General features: G+C 45.9%; 1 protein-coding gene and 1 long non-coding RNA gene across 3 annotated transcripts in view, besides 1 other annotated feature; one reads left to right on the top strand and one right to left on the bottom strand.

Moving 5' to 3' along the window:
* AATF (apoptosis antagonizing transcription factor) overlaps positions 1 to 12,266 on the top strand; it is a 107,918-nt gene extending 95,652 nt beyond the window's left edge. For both annotated transcript variants that reach the window (NM_012138.4, NM_001411094.1), the window contains one exon: positions 11,996 to 12,266. In NM_012138.4, the coding sequence (NP_036270.1) occupies positions 11,996 to 12,059 (64 nt within the window). In that variant the 3' untranslated portion in view covers positions 12,060 to 12,266. The remainder of the gene's footprint in view (positions 1 to 11,995) is intronic.
* LOC105371753 (uncharacterized) lies at positions 612 to 8,557 on the bottom strand. Its single transcript, XR_934717.4, has 3 exons — positions 7,650 to 8,557; positions 1,285 to 1,363; positions 612 to 974 (listed from the first exon to the last, which is right to left on the bottom strand). It is a non-coding gene; the product is annotated as an uncharacterized LOC105371753 (long non-coding RNA).
* Positions 3,493 to 3,993: an enhancer, noted in NCBI's record as "H3K27ac hESC enhancer chr17:35405396-35405896 (GRCh37/hg19 assembly coordinates)". NCBI's record gives its function as "activates a minimal SCP1, AML or CMV promoter by ChIP-STARR-seq in naive H9 embryonic stem cells {active_cell/tissue: H9 hESC(naive)}" and the evidence as "EXISTENCE:reporter gene assay evidence [ECO:0000049][PMID:30033119]".
* Positions 12,267 to 18,005: the final 5,739 nt, after the last annotated feature.

Below are 18,005 nucleotides of genomic sequence, written 5' to 3' on the forward strand. Positions count from 1 at the left end.
TTAAACCAGGTTTGGTTCTGATGGCCTTCCTATAAATTATTACAGGTCAAGTGTCACCTATCGAATTCTTGCGTCCAGAGGAATTTCGTATTTCAGATTTTCTTGGATTTGGAAATATTTGTATTATCCCCGTTGAGCATGCCTAATCTGAAAATCTGAAATCTGAAGTGCTCCAGTGAGCATTTTCTTACAGCATAGTTCGTGTCGGTGCTCAAAAAGTTTTAGATTTCGGAGCATTTCAGATTTCAGATACTTGAGTTAGAGATACTCACCATGCAGTTACTATGGAGCATGAAGAACCCCAGCAGGGCTCTGTAGTGATTTATAGCTTTCGGTCAGTGTTCTGGACTCTGCTTTCAGGATTTTTCTTTAAGAAGAAAACAGTTCTGGAATGGATTCTGTAAGTGCATTAACAAAGCATAAAGGCCTGGCTGCTTTGTTATTTTTAGTGTTGGTATTAAGTGTCAAGCTAAGAAAGGATATTTAGATCGAGGACCTTACCTCGTTAGACTTGGAGTTCAAGTTGCTGGCAGCACCTGGTCATGGGAAGCTCTCACCAGCCACCCTCAGAAATGAGGTCCTGAATGAGCCATAACCACACCCTATGCTTTACCACTGTCTCCCTGGGGAGCAGAACACTTTATAAACATTAATTCTTTGACCCCCTGGGCACCTCCACTTACGTGGTAAATAAGACTGAAGGCCTTTCTTCTACAATATAGATGAGGAAACATCAGCCCAGAAGGGAAATTACTTGATGAGAGACAGGTGAGCAGCCATGGGCCCCAGGGTGTTTGGAGTCTCAGTAGCTGACCTGCAGCAGCACTCGTGGCTGCCGACACCCAGGAGACACAGTCCTGTTCCGTTCCCCTTTCTGCTTCTCAGAGGGTAGTGGGGGTTGGGCCTTTTGTCTCTTGTATGGAATGTGAAATGCTGCAAAGACGAGCAATTGTTCTTCAATGCTTTGTCCTCCCCTATAAGAAAGAAGAAATCAATACACATTTTCTCATACACACACTTGGCAGCACTCTGCCTTCTCTTCCACAGCTCGGTCCTACAGGGGGAAACACAACTGTACAGCCAGACAGACTCTTCAGGTTCAGGGGAAGAAATGCAAACTGCTCACTTTGCACTTAGCAGTCAGGCTTTTTAGAGCCAATCGTATAACTGGCTGAGGTAATCAAACTGCTGACCTCAGAGACTAGCTGGTGAAACGAGTGGGAGAGATGCCCTGTTGCAGGCCCCCTGTTGCAGGCCTGCTCAGTGCTGCTGGGGAAAGCTCACCTGGCAGGTGTTTAGGACAGATGCTCCTTTTGCTGAATTTCTGATTTGCAGAGGCAGGAAGGAAGTTCTTTGAAGGATACTATTAAAAACCAAAAAATTATGGACAGATTGAGAGCAGCCTTTTTTTTTTAATCAATTAATAGGCATACAGTCTGAACAAGAGCCCCATCTCAGACTGGATTTTATTTTTTCATCAGAAAATGTGGTATCGATATCTGTAATTTTGTCTTACAGCTCACTGCCATTAAACAGTTGTGTGGGATGTGAATAAAAAAGAATTTGCTGCCATTGTTAGGAGAAATGGTAGCTTGGGTGTCAGAAGAGCCTTGCAAGGCAGGAGATGAGTTTAGGGGGAGGGCAGGGGAGCGGGGACTCGGGCTCTGGGGTCCTTCACGCGGAGGAGACCATTAGACCATTAGAGTGTGTGTAGGATCACCAGGGGAGGGTGTCAAAAGAAGAGAGGAAGCCAAGAGCAGAACCTGGGAGAAGGAAGGCAGAGGAGAGCCAGGAGAACACATGCTCCTTGAACGCTCGGGGGGAGACTTCCGGGTAGGGCAGCTGGCCAGCAGCTGGAAGGGCTTGCTCCCCAGGCCCCAGCGGTTCCTCTGTGTCCCCTGACTCGCATTGCAGAGCTGGCACTTTGCATTTGCTCACTTACTAGTTACTTCTTGTGCGTTTTGATTGGTACCCGATTTCTAAGCAAAAGAAATCCTCCAACTTATTACCAGAAGTAATAGCAGAGTGCCTTGCCAAAACTCTATGGGTTGACATTGAATACCCTCACTAATTCCTGCGTGTTGAAGTTAAGCTAGAGCTGAGCGATGCATCCTGTGCTCCCCCAACACACACACACACACACACACACACACACACACACACACGCATGCACACACGCCCTGGGTTGTTGGGCAGCATCCTGATACGGATACAAATGTAACTGGAATGTCAGTCTCACCTTCTGTGCGGCTGGGGGAAGTGATTCACGTCTAAGCAGTGAAGCATCCCCTAGCTTTTAACAGGAGCTGTTAGAGGGGCTGCTGTTTGAACAAGGAGCTTCATCTTCCTGAAGCCAGCAGTCACAAAACCGTAAACACAACACTGGCCAACTCTATTGCGGGGACCGTGGTGGCTTGACGTTAATATTAAACATCTCCAGCAAGGCAGAGAGCTCTGCATCCCAGGTCCGGAATAAAAATAAATAAAAATAAAGAGAAACCCTGCTAAAAGCAGTGTGATGATTTGTCGTCTTTCCTTTGTGAGGCCATTTGTCTTCTCTCACATCAAATCTGTTATAAAACAGTCAAACTGTGAAAGTGGACATCATCCCGGGAATATGGAATATTAATGCGTGGAAGGAGCGGCGCCCCTTTTGTCTGAAGAGTGGCTCCTCCCCCACCCCTCTGCTTTTTTGCAAGTCCGCTAAGGTAAATTATTTTTCTTTAAAATCATGTGGAAGATTTGAAGCTAGTAGTAGGGATGGTGGAAGTTTTGAGTATTTTTCTTCCTTTGTTAAAGTGCAGGGGATTTGTGACTGGCTTGAGTAAGGAGGAAGCACAAGTGAGAAGAAAACCTGTCCACGTGCAGTCCCCTTCTCGCCCCCATCCCTCTCCCCTCTCCTCCCTGTTCCCCAGCCTCTCAGTTCCTTTGTTTGGGGCCTGAACCTGCTTCTTGGAACATTTATAAATCTTGAGTCTGTCTGATCTTTAGGGGACAGGCCAGAGGCCGTGTGTCACCATGTGTAATTTAGAGCTGTAGGGCTAAAAGCTTTTCCAGAGGTTTGAAGGACCTAGTTCTGACCTGACCAAAAGAACGAATTGGAACAGACCTTCTAGAGTCTCCTTCAAGCACTGGGGAGGATGGTGATGAGAGCAGACACACGGGGTAATTTATGGGCTCCGCTGACTGGTGGCTGGGTCCACTTGGAAACGAGTCGTGTACTGCCACCTTGTGGCAGATTCGGGCGGCTGCGGTTTTGTTGTTTTGGAACCTTGTGAAGAGTTTCAGCTAGTGTCGGATTGGACATGATTTGCCTTGTATCTAGATTTAGGTAATTAGTGATAGATAAGGGGTGTCTCTGAGTCATTCTTATTTTGCTAAGTTGATCCTGTTAAGAAATAAGTCTTAGCTGAAAGAAGACTGCTTTCTTTCCCCTTTACCTCCTTTCTTCTGCTTTGTGGTTTTTTTATGGGGGTTTTTGTTGTTGTTCAGTTTTGGTTTGTTTTTTGGTATGGAATTATGATGAGATTTCAGGAGAGAAGCCTGTGATCCTCCTTGGGTTGTTGGGGGATGTTAAGAGGAGAGTGAGGGAGAGTAAGTACCGACTTTTTGGCCGTATTCAGAAATCCTAAGTTTTCTACTATAGTGATTTTTGTGTCATTCTGACTAAATACTAACTCCTTATCAGCACTGTGTCTTTTTACTTGGATTACTTTCCCAGCAATCCAGCCTTCTTGGGGAGCTAAGTTTTTCTTTTCTTTTTTTTTTTTTTTTTTTTTTTTTTAGATGGAGTCTCACTCTTTTGCCCAGGCTGGAGTGCAATGGCACAATCTCGGCTCACTGCAACCTCCGCCTCCCAGGTTCAAGTGATTTTCCCGGCTCAGCCTCCCAAGTACCTGGGATTACAGGCACACACCACCACGCCCAGCTATTTTTTGTATTTTTAGTAGAGACGAGGTTTCTCCATGTTGGCCATGCTGGTCTCAAACCCCTAACCTCAGGTGATCCGCCCACCTTGGCCTCCCAAAGTTCTGGGATTACAGGTGTGAGCCACTGCGCCCAGCCTTGAGGAGCTAAGTTCTAATGCATGTCACCTGTGTCTGAGCCCATTCCCGTGACATACATAGGGCTGCCCCTACCACACAGCCCCAAAGAGCACAGGGCGATTGCCTGCCATTTGGATCAGTATGTTTCTCCTTTTAGGTCATAGAGACACTTCTCAAATATCTTTCTCTCATTTGTAAAGTCACTGATACCGAGTAGGATGAATTTGGGTCGGGGAAAGCAAAGGAATGATGAAAGGAGGGTGCCATTTAGTCCCTCGTGTTGGTTGGGAGCAACTGTAATGCATGCACACAGGTCCTCAGCATGTTGCTCTGTCTCATTCCATTTCTCATGATCATAGATGACGATGCCATTTATGCAATGCGGACTTTGCTTAGTGCTGTAAAAACAGTATGTTTAAGGAAGATATTGTCACCATCTTACTGATGAGGAAGCTAAGATTCAGGGGGCTAAGTAATTTACCTAAGGTCCTAGACCCAGTAAGGACCTGAGCCAGTCAGAACCAACTCTGACAGCACCTTCCAGCCCCTCTGCATTTGTGATACCATGCTCTATGCCATATAAAAGCATTCGCCTTGTTCTATTTAACTATTCAAGATTTCTATTAAGCTGGTTTCTCTAAGTATATAAGAAAAGAAAGCTGCTGTCCAAGCCGGGCGCGGTGGCTCACGCCTGTAATCCCAGCACTTTGGGAGGCCGAGGCGGGCAGATCACGAGGTCAGGAGATCGAGACCATCCTGGCTAACACAGTGAAACCCTGTGTGTACTAAAAATACAAAAAAAAGTTAGCCAGGCGTGGTGGCGGGCACCTGTAGTCCCAGGTACTCGGGAAGCTGAGGCAGGAGAATGGCGTGAACCTGGGAGGCGGAGCTTGCAGCAAGCCGAGATGGCGCCACTGCACTCCAGCCTGGGTGACAGAGCGAGACTCCGTCTCAAAAAAAAAAAAAAAAAGGGAAAGCTGCTGTCCTGTGGTCTGTAGACATTTTTAAGAGGAAAATGGAGGAGTGAGTAGCCTTTGCCCTTTGGCCTACTTTGGTTTCTGGCAATCAGAATGGAGGCACGTGCTTTATTGGAGAAGGATCCCTTTGTTTGGTGCCGTTAGCATGTGCCAAGTGATAATTGGCAAGACATCTTTTTCCGCAGACATTTGGGAGGCCCTGGGCATACTGATAGATAGAACAGAAGAGAGTGGAGGCCTTGGGAAGACAGAGAGAGAAGTATGTGTTCAGAGTGCAGGAGAGATGGAGTCCTGCTCCACCTGCTTTGGGCTCACGAGGGCTGCGGGTTCTGGAGACCTTGCTTTTGGAGCTTTGGCAAATGGAGGGCTCATAGGAGTGCAGTCAGGATGGCAAGCAGACTCGGTCACAGGAGGAATGGAGGCAACTGAGGCCGCTGAACCCGGAAAAGAACAGATTTAGTTAGAAGAAGACATCAAATAGTTGAAGTGCTGCCACAGGGAATAGTAGTCAGCCTTACTTCTCTCTGGCTTTAGAGGGACAAGAGCCCATGGCTGTAAGTCCTAAAATGACAGAATTGGGTTCAGCAGGAGGAAGAATGTTTGTGTGTCTCCCCAAATGGAGTGGTTTGTCTGAGACACACTTACTGCATGTATTCACCTTCCCGATCTAGCTTCTGCTGTGCCTTTCATGTCTTTGTGAACCTCCACAAAATCTAACAAAGTTCAAATAAGCATTCAAATATTTTTAATTAATTGATTATACCTGTAGTATGTTAGGTTTTGAGGCCAGGAATCATATACATCTAGTACATGTTTAAGCTTCCACCACACTAAGCAAATTGTTTTCAAAGACAAACGTGAAAAAAGGCAGCATCAGTACATCACCAATAATTTTAAAAGCACACATCTGTCATTGGTGACCGCGCTGGTCTGTGCAGAGCAGGCGTGTGTGTGAATCTCTGTGCTGACTGACCATATCTGGGCAGACTCTACTTGTAGGGTTTCAGATCGGATCCAGACCCTGCTAGCCGTGAGTGCTGCTATGATTGGAACCCTTTGTCCGACTTGCCTGCCGTGTGCTTTCTTCTTTTCCCTTGATTCTGCAATGTATGTATGGGATTGAGTTAAGGCAGAAGCAAATGCTACAGCACTTTTGTGTGCAGTGTGGGAGAGGTAGAGGATTAGAAAGGAAGGAAGGGCCATGACATTCTGGGATGTGTCTTATGTATTTAGGGAGACCCCCCACTCCTAAGAAGCAACAAATGAACAATTTTTAATTAGTCAAAGGCAAATTATGTGTATCATTTTATGTATTTATTTATTTTTAATAGAGACAGGGTCTCACTGTGTTGCTCAGGCTGGTCTCAAACTCCTGGGCTCAAGTGGTCTTCCCACCTCAACCTCCCAAAGTGCTGGGATTACATGAGCCACCATACCTGGCCTATGAGTCACTTTTCGTCTGGAAAGCAGCAGCATTGTCTCCGCCAGCTCCTTTGGAAGACTGGCACATAATACTTGCTCGGAGACCATGATGCGCTTTGGGAGGCTGCACAGGCTTTTTCGGGGAGCAGTGGAATGGCTGTGTTCTCTCTGCTGTCCACCTGTCTTTGTGGGTAGGTACAGCTCAGGGATGTCTTGGAGGCCTGGGGGTTCCAGGGCCAGTGTAGGAGGAGTGTGGTTTTCTGTAGAGTGGATGGTACAATTCCTTCAGAATCCCCAGTGCTGCAAGCTACTGACCTAGCAAATTGAAAGCCCCACACAGATTATTTGCAGGTTTAATATGCTCCTTTGTACTGTTTGCCCAAGTGACATCGTGAAAGACAGTGATCTGTATTGTGGTGGGGTGAGTGCACATGTGGAACTGAAAGGAACATATTTGGGTCCACACATCGGTGAGGGGCTGCATTCTCATACACATACACCCCCATTTCACTCAGAGCTTTTAAAACCTTACCTGCCACTCAAGTGATTGCAGTTCACAGCTAGCTACAATGTGCATACTTTAAGTCTCTTCAGAAGAATCACATAATAAATAAGCCGAATCCTAAGACAGACAGACAGACAGACAGACACACACACACACACACACACACACACACACGCACATTCTGTCTTTATGGAAAATGGCGGCTAATCCATGATCATTTTTTTTTCTAGAAACAGGTTTTAAGATAATATAGTAAAAATATTAAATTAGAAAATGCCTCACTAAGGGTTATAAAACCTTACTGCACTAGAGATAGGTAATTATCCCCTCTACAGCTTAATGACAGTTTAAAAGAAATAAAAATGTTAGTGCTCATTACTTGCTTTTGTAGTTTGCAATAAAGGGTAAGTTAAATTTTAATTCAAGGAAGAGCCCCTGCTATCGACCTTCTACCTCAGGTCCAAGTCCTGTTAATTACTCCGCAGGCTGCTCCCCTGCATGATACCAGCATGAACGCATTGTCTACAGTGGACACTCCCACTGACCATGAGTGTGTGTGTGCTGGGGGGTGGGGGTATTACAGATCAGTGATTTGCATCTTGATTCTTAATGTGATGGGGAGCAGGAATTATGTGTTTTTTTAAAAAGTTGATTATGCATAGCCTTAAGGGGACCTCAGGTATGAAACTACACACTTACCCTGGAGAATCTGATGGAACAAGGTTAACCTGGAGGATTGATAGTTTAGCTTCTCCACATGGCTAAATCCCAGTTAGGAAGATGCAGCCGGGGGGAAATGTTTATGCAGTGGAAGGCGGTCTGGCCCTCTGTCCAGTGGCACCTTTTTGTAGCCTCGTCTTTACTTGCAGTTTTTCTTGGGATGGGGTAAGGGCTGTGGACATGTTTTGTTTCTTTTCAGATGTCTTTGCCTTTCCCTAAGCACCTAGACACCTGCCTAGGTTTGAGGGAGGAAGAGCTCAGTGCACCCTGTGGCTCAGTCTTCACACTGGGGTATGCAGAGACTTTCCAAGGGGAAGGTAGACACAGATAGTCAAGGAGTCAGTCTTCAGACGTACGCTCTTTCCTAAAGCTGTCTGCCCCAGAGCAGGCCTGTGCTGGAGGGCTAGGTTGTCCTTTTACCCTCGTCCTTCTCTGGCCTTGAAAAGCCTCCCTCGAGCCCCTCCTTAAAGTGACATGGACCTCGGGCTGCCACAGGAAAACCTCCAGGGCCTCAAACCCAAGGACAGCTGGAAATATGGGTACAGAGATTGAGAAAGCAAACGCCTAAGGACTAGAGGACAAGCCCTGTGCAGGCCGGGTGGTTTCTGGGTCTTCACTTCCAGCAGAATCGCTGGAGAACACGAGTTGAATTGAGTTGGCAGTTGGTTGACCGTTAGGACTAATGTTTGGGGACGAGTCACTGTGCGATTTTTTGTGTGTGCTGTATAATTCAGAAAGAGCAAAAAGAATCAAGTGGCATTGCTATGCCAGAACTCTGTCATTCCTATCTGCTTGTTTATATGACAACATTTCTCAGTGCTTATGTCTACAAAAAACAAAAAAATAGGAGTAGAATTGATGCTGAACCCTCCTTCATTCTGGCAATAAATAATATTCCTCCATGGATCCATGAACAAATGGAGGGAAAAGCCTCATCCATATCATTAAGGGATGCATTTCTAATAACATTTTACACATGTATGAATACTAAATTTTCACTAAAATTAGGATATATTATATCATATTATTATATATTGATTATATCCTAATAATAATCCAGAGGAACATTTTTAAACTACTTAGAGCCTTATAATGTCAAACAATTAAAATATTTTCATTTCAATTTTTTGAATTTTAAAAATTTCAAAAGTGCTTTTATTTACAGACTAATGTGGCCAAGAAGTATGATAAGGGTGATTGATAAAAGACATTCAAGCATGAAACCATTATATTAGGACAAAACTCTGTAGGGAAAAGTCAGGTGGAAATAAAATTTAAAAAGAAAAAGGTGCTATAAAATGTCCAAGTTAAAAAGTTTATGTGTGGCCCACGCCTGTAATCCCAGCACTTTGGGAGGCCAAGACGGGCAGATCATGAGGTCAAGAGATGGAGACCATCCTGGCCAACATGGTAAAACCCCGTCTCTACTAAAAATAAAAAATTAGCCGGGCGTGGTGGTGCGCACCTGCAGTCCCAATTACTTGGAAGGCTGAGGCAGGAGAATCGATTGAACCCGGGAGGCGGAGGTTGCAGTGAGCCGAGATTGCGCCACTGCACTCCAGCCTGGCGACAGAGCGAGACTCCATCTCAAAAAAAAATAGTTTATGTGTTACTTGAATGAACGATGAGTATCAAATCATTATGGCATGTAGGTTCCATTGCAGGCATTACAAAAGTTAATTTTCACAACATCCTGGTCATTATATATTTTGTAACTATTTAAACTTACTGTGAAAAACGTTATAAAAATGTGCAACCCTACCTTCTCCAACCTAGTAAAGAGGGAGGAAGGGCTGTGCCTCCCTGTACCACCCAGCTGCTCAGGGCAGGAGCCAAAGCCAGGACCTGGAAAGAGGAAGGGCTGAGGCCAAGCTGAACCGCTGGAATCTACAGTGGGGGTGGCTGGTGGGGGGCGTGTGGGGCGGGGATCTTCATCCCCATGCTGCTCCTGGGCCCCAGGGAGGGTCTGCTTTGTCTGTCTCAGAGAAGGGAGTGGAAGAGTCAGCCAGGAGGTTGTTGCTGTGTGCTTCATGAGAAACGGTGAGATCTGACCTAGTGGAAGCCTGGAGGAGCTGTGAAGTTTGAGATGCTTTGAAGGTAAAAACGGTCACCAGCTGGTGATAGTGGGTGAGGAAGATGTAAAAGTTGAAATTGCTTGGGGACTTTTAGATTGAAATAATCCCCTATTGATATTCTCTCTCTCTGAAAATATTTTAAGAACCCAGACCACTCAGCTTCCCAGGTTGCTTTGCCATGAACAGCTGCATATGTTTGTCAGCTTTGCCCACCTGAGTGTGAAATGATGTTCTATGAAAACATGGGTTTCAGCATTTCACTCTCTGCTCCTGACACGTGAACCCTGCTGCGGACAGTAACTGCTGCCTTCGGCCCAGGCGTTGCACTGATATTGCGCGCAGAGTGGAAGCATTTGCTCAGTGGTAATGATGGGGTCTGGTGCAGGCAAGCGCGGCGAGGCTGGAAAGGGTATGATGTGAAGGGCTAGCCTCGCGCCTCTGCATTTCTTTCTCATCAGACGTTGTTGTCCTAAAGTCACACTGTCCTTTTGTTATGGCAACTCTCCCTTTCACGCCATTTAATTTTTTGTGTGGAAACAGCTAGAGAGACTTGTCTTTACTGGCAAATAGGCAGGCCATGGTGTGATGAAGTGGAGCCTGCCCTGGGCACCGAAGTATCCGTGTGACGGAGCTGCTGATTTGGAAGCCGTGGGTTTGCATTTGGTCTGGGGCTGCCGTCCACCTTGGCAGGCTTCGTCTGGGCTGATTGAGGCTAGTCACATGGATGTGTGTAACAGAAGAGCAGAAGAGATGGGTGGAGCCAAGGGGGAAGCTGTGTCCTTTGTCTGTGGCCTAGGGGTCTGCTGGGTAGTTCAGGGTGAAGGCACCAGCACATTCTTGGGATAAAATTCCTGTAATAAAATTGGAGGCCTGTTGTTTTCTGGCCTGCACTTTCACTGCCTGTCCCTCCCGCGGTCCCCAACATGATAAGGCTAGCTTACATTTGTGGCTTCTGTAGTTCTTCCTTAAGATGTTTTTCTTTTGACTTTTTTAAAGCTTTGATACTCTATTCCTTTTGTTGGATTTCCTAATTGTAGTACCTTTATTCCTATCCATAACTATAGTAGGGTGACTTCAAAAAAAGACCAGTAGTTTTTTGTGTTGAAGCCTTGCTGTTTGAAAGGTGGGGTTTTTTGGTTTTGCTTTTAAAGTCTGATGTGCCGATGCTGACCCTCAGATGATGAGAGCACTTTTAAAACAAGACGGCAGGCTGGAATTTGAGTTCCATCTTGAGAATATCCGAGCAGGTGTAGATTTCTTCTGGGGCTCCTGGCCCATGACCTCAGCCCTGTGTGCGCCTGCCCTGTCTCTGTGAGGGCTACCGGCTGGGCCTTCTGCAGGGCGTGGACATGGATGGCTGCCTCTGCGGCCACGTGCTACACGCCCACCTCCCTGATGACAGGGACGTCCTCACACGGGTCTTGCCTGCTTGGAACCTCATGGGTCCCTCATGTCTCTGCAGGGAGGATCTGCTCTGTATCCACAGGGGAAAGTGTTCTGGAGCTTCTGTCTCAACGATAGGAAAGATCCCTGCCCCACCCACACCCCTTTTAGGTTTTCCAGGCCTTGACACATGGCTTTGGCCGATGTTTGTGTGTATGTTGCATTTAAAAGAGTTTGAAAGTGGTCATTTACTTTTCTTTTTAGGGGCCCAAGACCCTGGCATGTTATTGTTTTAATGTCAAAACCCAACTTTAGAAATAAATTAGCCAATCATATTATTTATTAGACTGAGAATAGAGACAGGGCAGCTGGGGAGTGTGGAAGAAGCTTGGTTCTCTTCCTGAACAACTGCACAGATGATAGTAATTGGAATCGTGTTGCTGGCTCATTTTCATTGTTTTTCAAGTACTGCCAAGTCCAAGAAAATGTATGAAAACTAAATTATATCCCCCTACATCCCATGTCTGATTGAATCCTCCTCATCGGATGGCGGTCTCCTACATCCTATTAAAATATTCAATCTTGTTTTCTTACTTGAAGAGCCTGTCTGCAAAGGGCAAACTTACAGAACACTCATTCCCTGGAGACGGGTGTCCAGCCGCACTGGACCATTTACATATTTTACTGTTTGATTGGGTTTCTTCCTTCTGTTGTATTTGTGAGTAAGAGCTGTGGGGTGCATTTTTAATTACATGGCTGTGTTTTCAACAGAAGAAACAGAATGGGGTATTTTCCAGCTTCTGCGTTCCTTTTTAACCTTGAATAGTGAACCAGTGTGTTAACCAGTTTGCTGTGTTTGTCTTTTAGGACAGAACTGTACCGCTCTCTTTTTGGCCAGCTCCACCCTCCCGACGAAGGCCACGGGGATTGACATCGCCCACCTCCGACACCCAGTGGGCGCCTTGGCTGGTGCGGCTGCTGGTCCAGATGGAGGAAACCAGTGACTTTATGGGGCTGAGCTAGTAGGGAAGCCCCTGGAAAGATGCTGCGTTCCGAACCTGTGCCTAATACACGCAAGGGCGCTGTCCCGCCCAACCCCGCCTTTAAACGCCACAAATAAAGAGCATTGTTACCGCCACCACCGCTTGTGATTTCTTAAGAGGCTGAGAGTCAGTCTGGTTTGGTTCTAGTGGATGACACATTTACTGAGCTTTTTTTTTTCTAGTCCAGTGGCCTCCTCATACAATGTCAGACTTGACGTTTCCTTGACCCACTCACCCTGGCGGACATGTAGATTGTTTGCATAGCGTGGCTGTTGTGGGTGAAATGAACGTGGGAGTGCAGGTGTCCCTTCAACACAGTAATGTCCGTTGATCTGTATATATACCCAGAAATGGGATTGCTTGATCGTAGGATAGTTGAATTTTTAGTTTTTTTAGTAACTCCTTACAGTTTTCCATAATGGCTGTACCAGTCCACGTTCACCCCGGCAGCGTGCCAGAGCTCCCTTTTCCGCGTCTTTACCAACACTTGTTAACTTTCATCTTTTTTAAAAAAAGTTTTTATTGCCATATAATAGTTGTATACATTTTAGGGGTTCATCTTTTTGATAGTAGCCATTATAACAGGTCTGAGGTGATGTCTCATTGTGGTTTTTTTTTTCTTTTATCTTTTTTTTTTTTTTTTTTTTTTTTTGAGACTGAGTCTTGCTCTGTCTCCCGAGCTGCAGTGTAGCGGCACAATCTCGGCTCACTGCAACCTCCACCTCCCAGGTTCAAGCAATTCTCCTGCCTCAGCCTCCTGAGTAGCTGGGATTACAGGTGCTCGCCACCATGCCCAGCTAATTTTTGTATTTTTAGTAGAGACGGGGTTTCACCATATTGGCCAGGCTGGTCTTGAACTGCTGACCTTGTGATCTGCCCACCTCGTACTCCCAAAATGCTGGGAATACAGGCATGAGCCACCACGCCCGGCCTCGTTGTGGTTTTTCTGTGCATTTCCCTAATGATTAGTGGGGCTGATAATTTTTTAATAAGCCTGTTGGCCATTTGTATGTCTTCTTTTGAGAAATATCTGTTCAGATTCTTTGCCCATTTTTGAAATGGGTTATTTGTTTTCTTGCTTTTGGGTTTCTTACATGGATAAGGGGTATTCAGCCTTAGAAAGAAGGAAATTCTGACACTCGCGACAATGTGGTTGAACTGGAAGACATTATGCCGAGTGAAATGACTCAAGCACAGAAGGACAGAGACCCCCTGATCTCAATTATACGTGGAATCTACAAAAGGCCAACTCATGGAACTAAAGAGTAGAATGGTGGTTACCGGAGGCTGAGGGGGGTGGGGGAGCAGGGAATGCGACATGTTGGTCAAAGACTACAGTTTCACGTCAGAGGAAGTATTTGTTTATGTATGTATTTATTTATTTATTTATTTATTTAGAGATGGAGTGCAGTGGCACAATCTTGGCTCACTGCAACCTCCGCCTCCCAGATTCAAGCAGTTCTTCTGACTCAGCCTCCCAAGTAGCTGGGATTACAGGCCCCTGCCAACACGCCCAGCTGATTTTTTTTTTTTTTTTTAGTAGAGATGGGGTTTCACCATATTGCCCAGGCTAGCTTCGAACTCCTGACCTCAAGTGATCCGCCCACCTCGGTCTCCCAAAGTGCTGGGATTACAGGCTTGACCCACCGTTCCCAGCCAGAGGAGGAAGTTTTGAGATCTGTTATACAGCAGGGTGACTATAGTCAATAATGTATTTTTCAGAGTAACTCAGTAAATTTCAAATGTTTCACCATAAAAAATGATAAGTGAGGTGATGGATACATGGACAGGCTTGATTTAATCGTTCTACGTTGTATATACACTATCAAGACATCACATTATACCTTATAGGTGGATACAATTATGTTTGTCAATTTAAACTATTAATTTTAAAAACACTTAAGACCAGGCGCTTCTGCTCATGCCTGTAATCCCAGCACTTTGGGAGGCCGAGGTGGGTGGATCACTTGAGGTTGAGACCAGCCTGGCCAACATGGTGAAACCCAGTCTCCACTAAAAATACAAAAATCAGCCGGGTGTAGTGGCATGTGCCTGTAATCCCAGCTACTTGGGAGGCTAAGGCAGGAGAATCGCTTCAACCCGGGAGGTGGAGGTTGCCGTGAGCCAAGATCACGCCACTGCACTCCAGCCTGGGTGACAGAGTGAGACTCCTTCTGGAAAAAAACAAACAAACAAACAAAAAACACTTAAAAGGAATGATGCTGGGATAGGATGCTTCTTTCTTTTAATTTTTTTAAAAAAAGGTTTCAGCTACTCTGGGCACACTCTGCCTGTGGGGGTACCCCTGCTCTGCAAGGAGCAGTTTAAAAAAATAAATTTAAAAGGGTTTTCTTTTGTGTGTATGTGAGAGACAGGGTCTTGCTCTGTCTCCCAGGCTCGAGTGCAGTGGTGTGATCTGTGATCATAGCTCGCTGCAGCCTCTACCTCCCAGGCTCAAGCAATCCCCTCCCACCTCAGCCTCTCAGGTAGCTGGGACTACAGGTGTGTGCCACCACACCTGGCCAGGATGCTGCTGAGTGGATAATGTTTAGTGGTTTATCACAGCTCTGAGGAGCAGAGACTCCCCCAAAAACCTAGGGGACTTTGTAATTTGGAGGCATTTGCCTGTTGTCACAAATACACGGTTGTTTGACTTTTTTTGTCTCCTCTTTTCACCTATAAAGATTCTTCCAGAGTCCTTTTCCATGCTCACCATTCCTAAATCACTATTGATATTAGCTCTGGTGTAAATCTGGCAGGAGACAATTCACTTGTTTTTCATCCAAAGGTCAAAAGCTGGAAATTAAATCCCCATAAGGGGAATTTATTGGCTTGCTGTGGTCAATATGCAGTGAAGATTATCTTGCATAAGTAATGTGCGCATATGGGTGGCCAGCATGCTGGCCTGAGCATCTCATAGGTCCTTTGCCCAGCTCTTTATTTAGAGCTATGGGATTAGAGAAGGCATTTTGGATCCAGGCAACTGAGTTGAGTTGTAGTTACTATAACTACTTGTTTGTTTGTTTTTTGAGACAGAGTTTTGCTCTGTCACCCAAGCTGGAGTGCAGTGGTACAATCCTGGCTCACTGTAACTTCCACCTCCCGGGTTCAAGCGAGTCTCTCATGCCTTAGTCTTCCAAGTAGCTGGGATTATAGGCTCGTGCCACCATGCCTGGCTAATTTTTGTATTTTTAGTAGAGATGGGGTTTTACCATGTTGGCCAGGCTAGTCTCGAACTCCTGACCTCAAGTGATCTGCTGGCCTCAGCCTCCCAAAGTGCTGGGATTACAGGCGTAAGCCACTGCGCCTGGCCCTAACTACTTGCTTTCAAAGTTGAGTTTTGATATTGCTTTGAAATGTCAAAACCAAGGGACAGATTTTTGTCCCCAGGAATCCTCTATATCATTGCCTTGGTGTCAGGGACAGCCGCACAGTGCCTTCGGCTGGACTGCAGAAGAAGCGAGGCCTGACGTCATCTGCATCACAGTTGAGTTTTAACATAAATGAAACTGCTGAGCTCAGGATGGGGCAGATAGGAGGGAGGAGGGTTTTTCCATCTCATATTAATTGGACCTTGGTATGCAGTGGCTTTTCTTGTCTCTACAATCACCTCTTTGGCTTGACTGTCAGGGAAATGTTTACTTTTCAATGTGTCTCCAGTTACCAAAAAACTCAACCGAAATAGGAGAGTTCCCGCACATTCACTGCTTTCAAAATGATCCCCTTTTAAAATACAGAACATCCAACGTTGTCCATCTAGCCGTGAGGGTTCTGGATGATGCTTGGTAGGACGGCAAGGAAATGACCTCTTAGTACTGAGGTTTCTATGAGCCTGACGCCAACCCGAGTTTCCTAAACAGAACCTTTGTCATCGTTACTCTGATGAAGAAAAAGATTTAAACATGCCCTTCAAAATATTTGGAGTCCAGCAAGTTTAATTAAAATGAGTTAAAAATGAGAGCTGAGAAAGAAGGAACTGACAGAACTTTCACTGAAGGGAGGCTTTGCATTTAAAATTCAGAAGGTCACCCTCCTTCCAGCCAAGAATAAATTGGAAACTATTTTAATTGACACGGATACTGCAATTCAACTGTTACTAGAAAGATTAGTTGATTGATTTGCATTTTAATAAAACTAATACTTTACATTTTGGTAGCTAATGCTGACTTTCAAATGAGTTGAGAACAGTTATCAAGAGTTTCAATCCAGAGCCCTTTTTCAGTGTTGACTGAAGCATTCCTCTCTTTTGTGTGGAGTTTGCGTTTATTTTATTTTTGCCCAGCTGACTGCTTCACACGAGACACTCATAAACCATAGACCTTAAAGATCTCACCAGTACGGCAAGGCGGTGAGCTGGTCACGCTGAAACGTGGCTGCAGCCACAGCTCCACCCTGCCCAGGTGTGCACCAGAGATCTGGGAAAGAGGGCAGAGGGCCTCCCTTCAGGGTAGAGGAAATGCTAAGGCTGGCTTTTTGTCTTATTTATTTTTGAGACAGGTTCTTGCTCTGTCACCCAGGCTGGAGTGCAGTGGTGCAATCTCGCCTCACTGCAGCTTTGACCTCCTGGGCTCAGGTAATCCTTCCACCTCAGCCTCCTGAGTAGCTGGGGCCACAGGCACGCACCACCATGCTGGCTAGTTTTTGTGTTTTTTGTATGGACGGGGTTTTGCCATGTTGCCCAGGCTGGTCTCGAACTCCTGAACTCAAGTGATCTGCCCACCTCGGCCTCCCAAAGTGCTGGGATTACAGGCGTGCGCCACCACACCCGGCCCCACTTGTCATCTTTAGTAATTTGGGGTCCTCTTCTGTGTCTAGAAACAATCATACAGAATAGCCCTGGTGATTCTCAGCAGGGGAGGAGCCAGGGAGCAGTTTGCAGGGGAAGACTTGGTTTTTACTTCTAGACTGTTTGATATTTTTTACTTATCCTTAAAAACAAAATCCTCATGCAGCCATGTCTGCCACCCCCCTGCACACATGTATGCCAGCTGAGAAGCATGGTGCACAGTGATCTGCATTTTAATAGCTCAGTCAGATGATTTCCATGTTTTCGCAGATGTCACACTTTCATTACTAACTAGTCATTCCATTTGGGGCCCGTATCAATATTTCACCAAATCCCCTGTTTGGGGACATTTACATTGTTTCTAGGTTTTTGCTCTTAATATACAGGATAATAGTAGAGGAGAATATTTGTGCATCAAGCTTGTTTATTGTGGTTTTTGAGACTTTTGTTTTCCTTGGTGTATATCTTTAGGAGTAAAAGGAATCAAGTGAAAGAGTCTGTGTGTTTTTAGGGCTCTTGGAACATCGTGGTGGCGTCAGGGCCCTCGTCCACCCCCACTTGCCTAGGCCAGGCCATCTGTAACACAGGGCGTGGAGGAGCCAGGAGGACACTAGCCCTGGAATTTGATCCTGGGATTTATTTCTTGCTCCCCAGGGACCCCTTCAAATCATCATGCTCCTCTGGGAGGATTAAAGAGCTGCTTCCTATAATGTGCTTTGAAATGATGCTCCAATGAAAGATGGTGGATAAACAGAAAGTGACACCATCGTCTCCCTCCCAGGCGCCCGTATTTTTTCCTGGCTGCTGGATCGCATATAATCTGCTCTCCACGTGCCCCTCTTGTTTTCATGCTCTTGCTACTTTCGGAGCCTTCACCCTGGGGTCTCCCAGGCAGGTTTTCCTTGTCCTCTAGACTTTTGGTGTGCAGCCATTTCTCTCCAGGAATGCTGGCTAGGGCTCCCTATTGAACATCATTTGGAACCCCTGGGCGTGTGAGAAGACACGGGAAAGCCAGCCCCCCCGCTCACTCCAGCAACTGACTCTGCAT

Source organism: Homo sapiens, chromosome 17, assembly GCF_000001405.40.
Source record: "Homo sapiens chromosome 17, GRCh38.p14 Primary Assembly".
Taxonomy (NCBI): domain Eukaryota; kingdom Metazoa; phylum Chordata; class Mammalia; order Primates; family Hominidae; genus Homo; species Homo sapiens.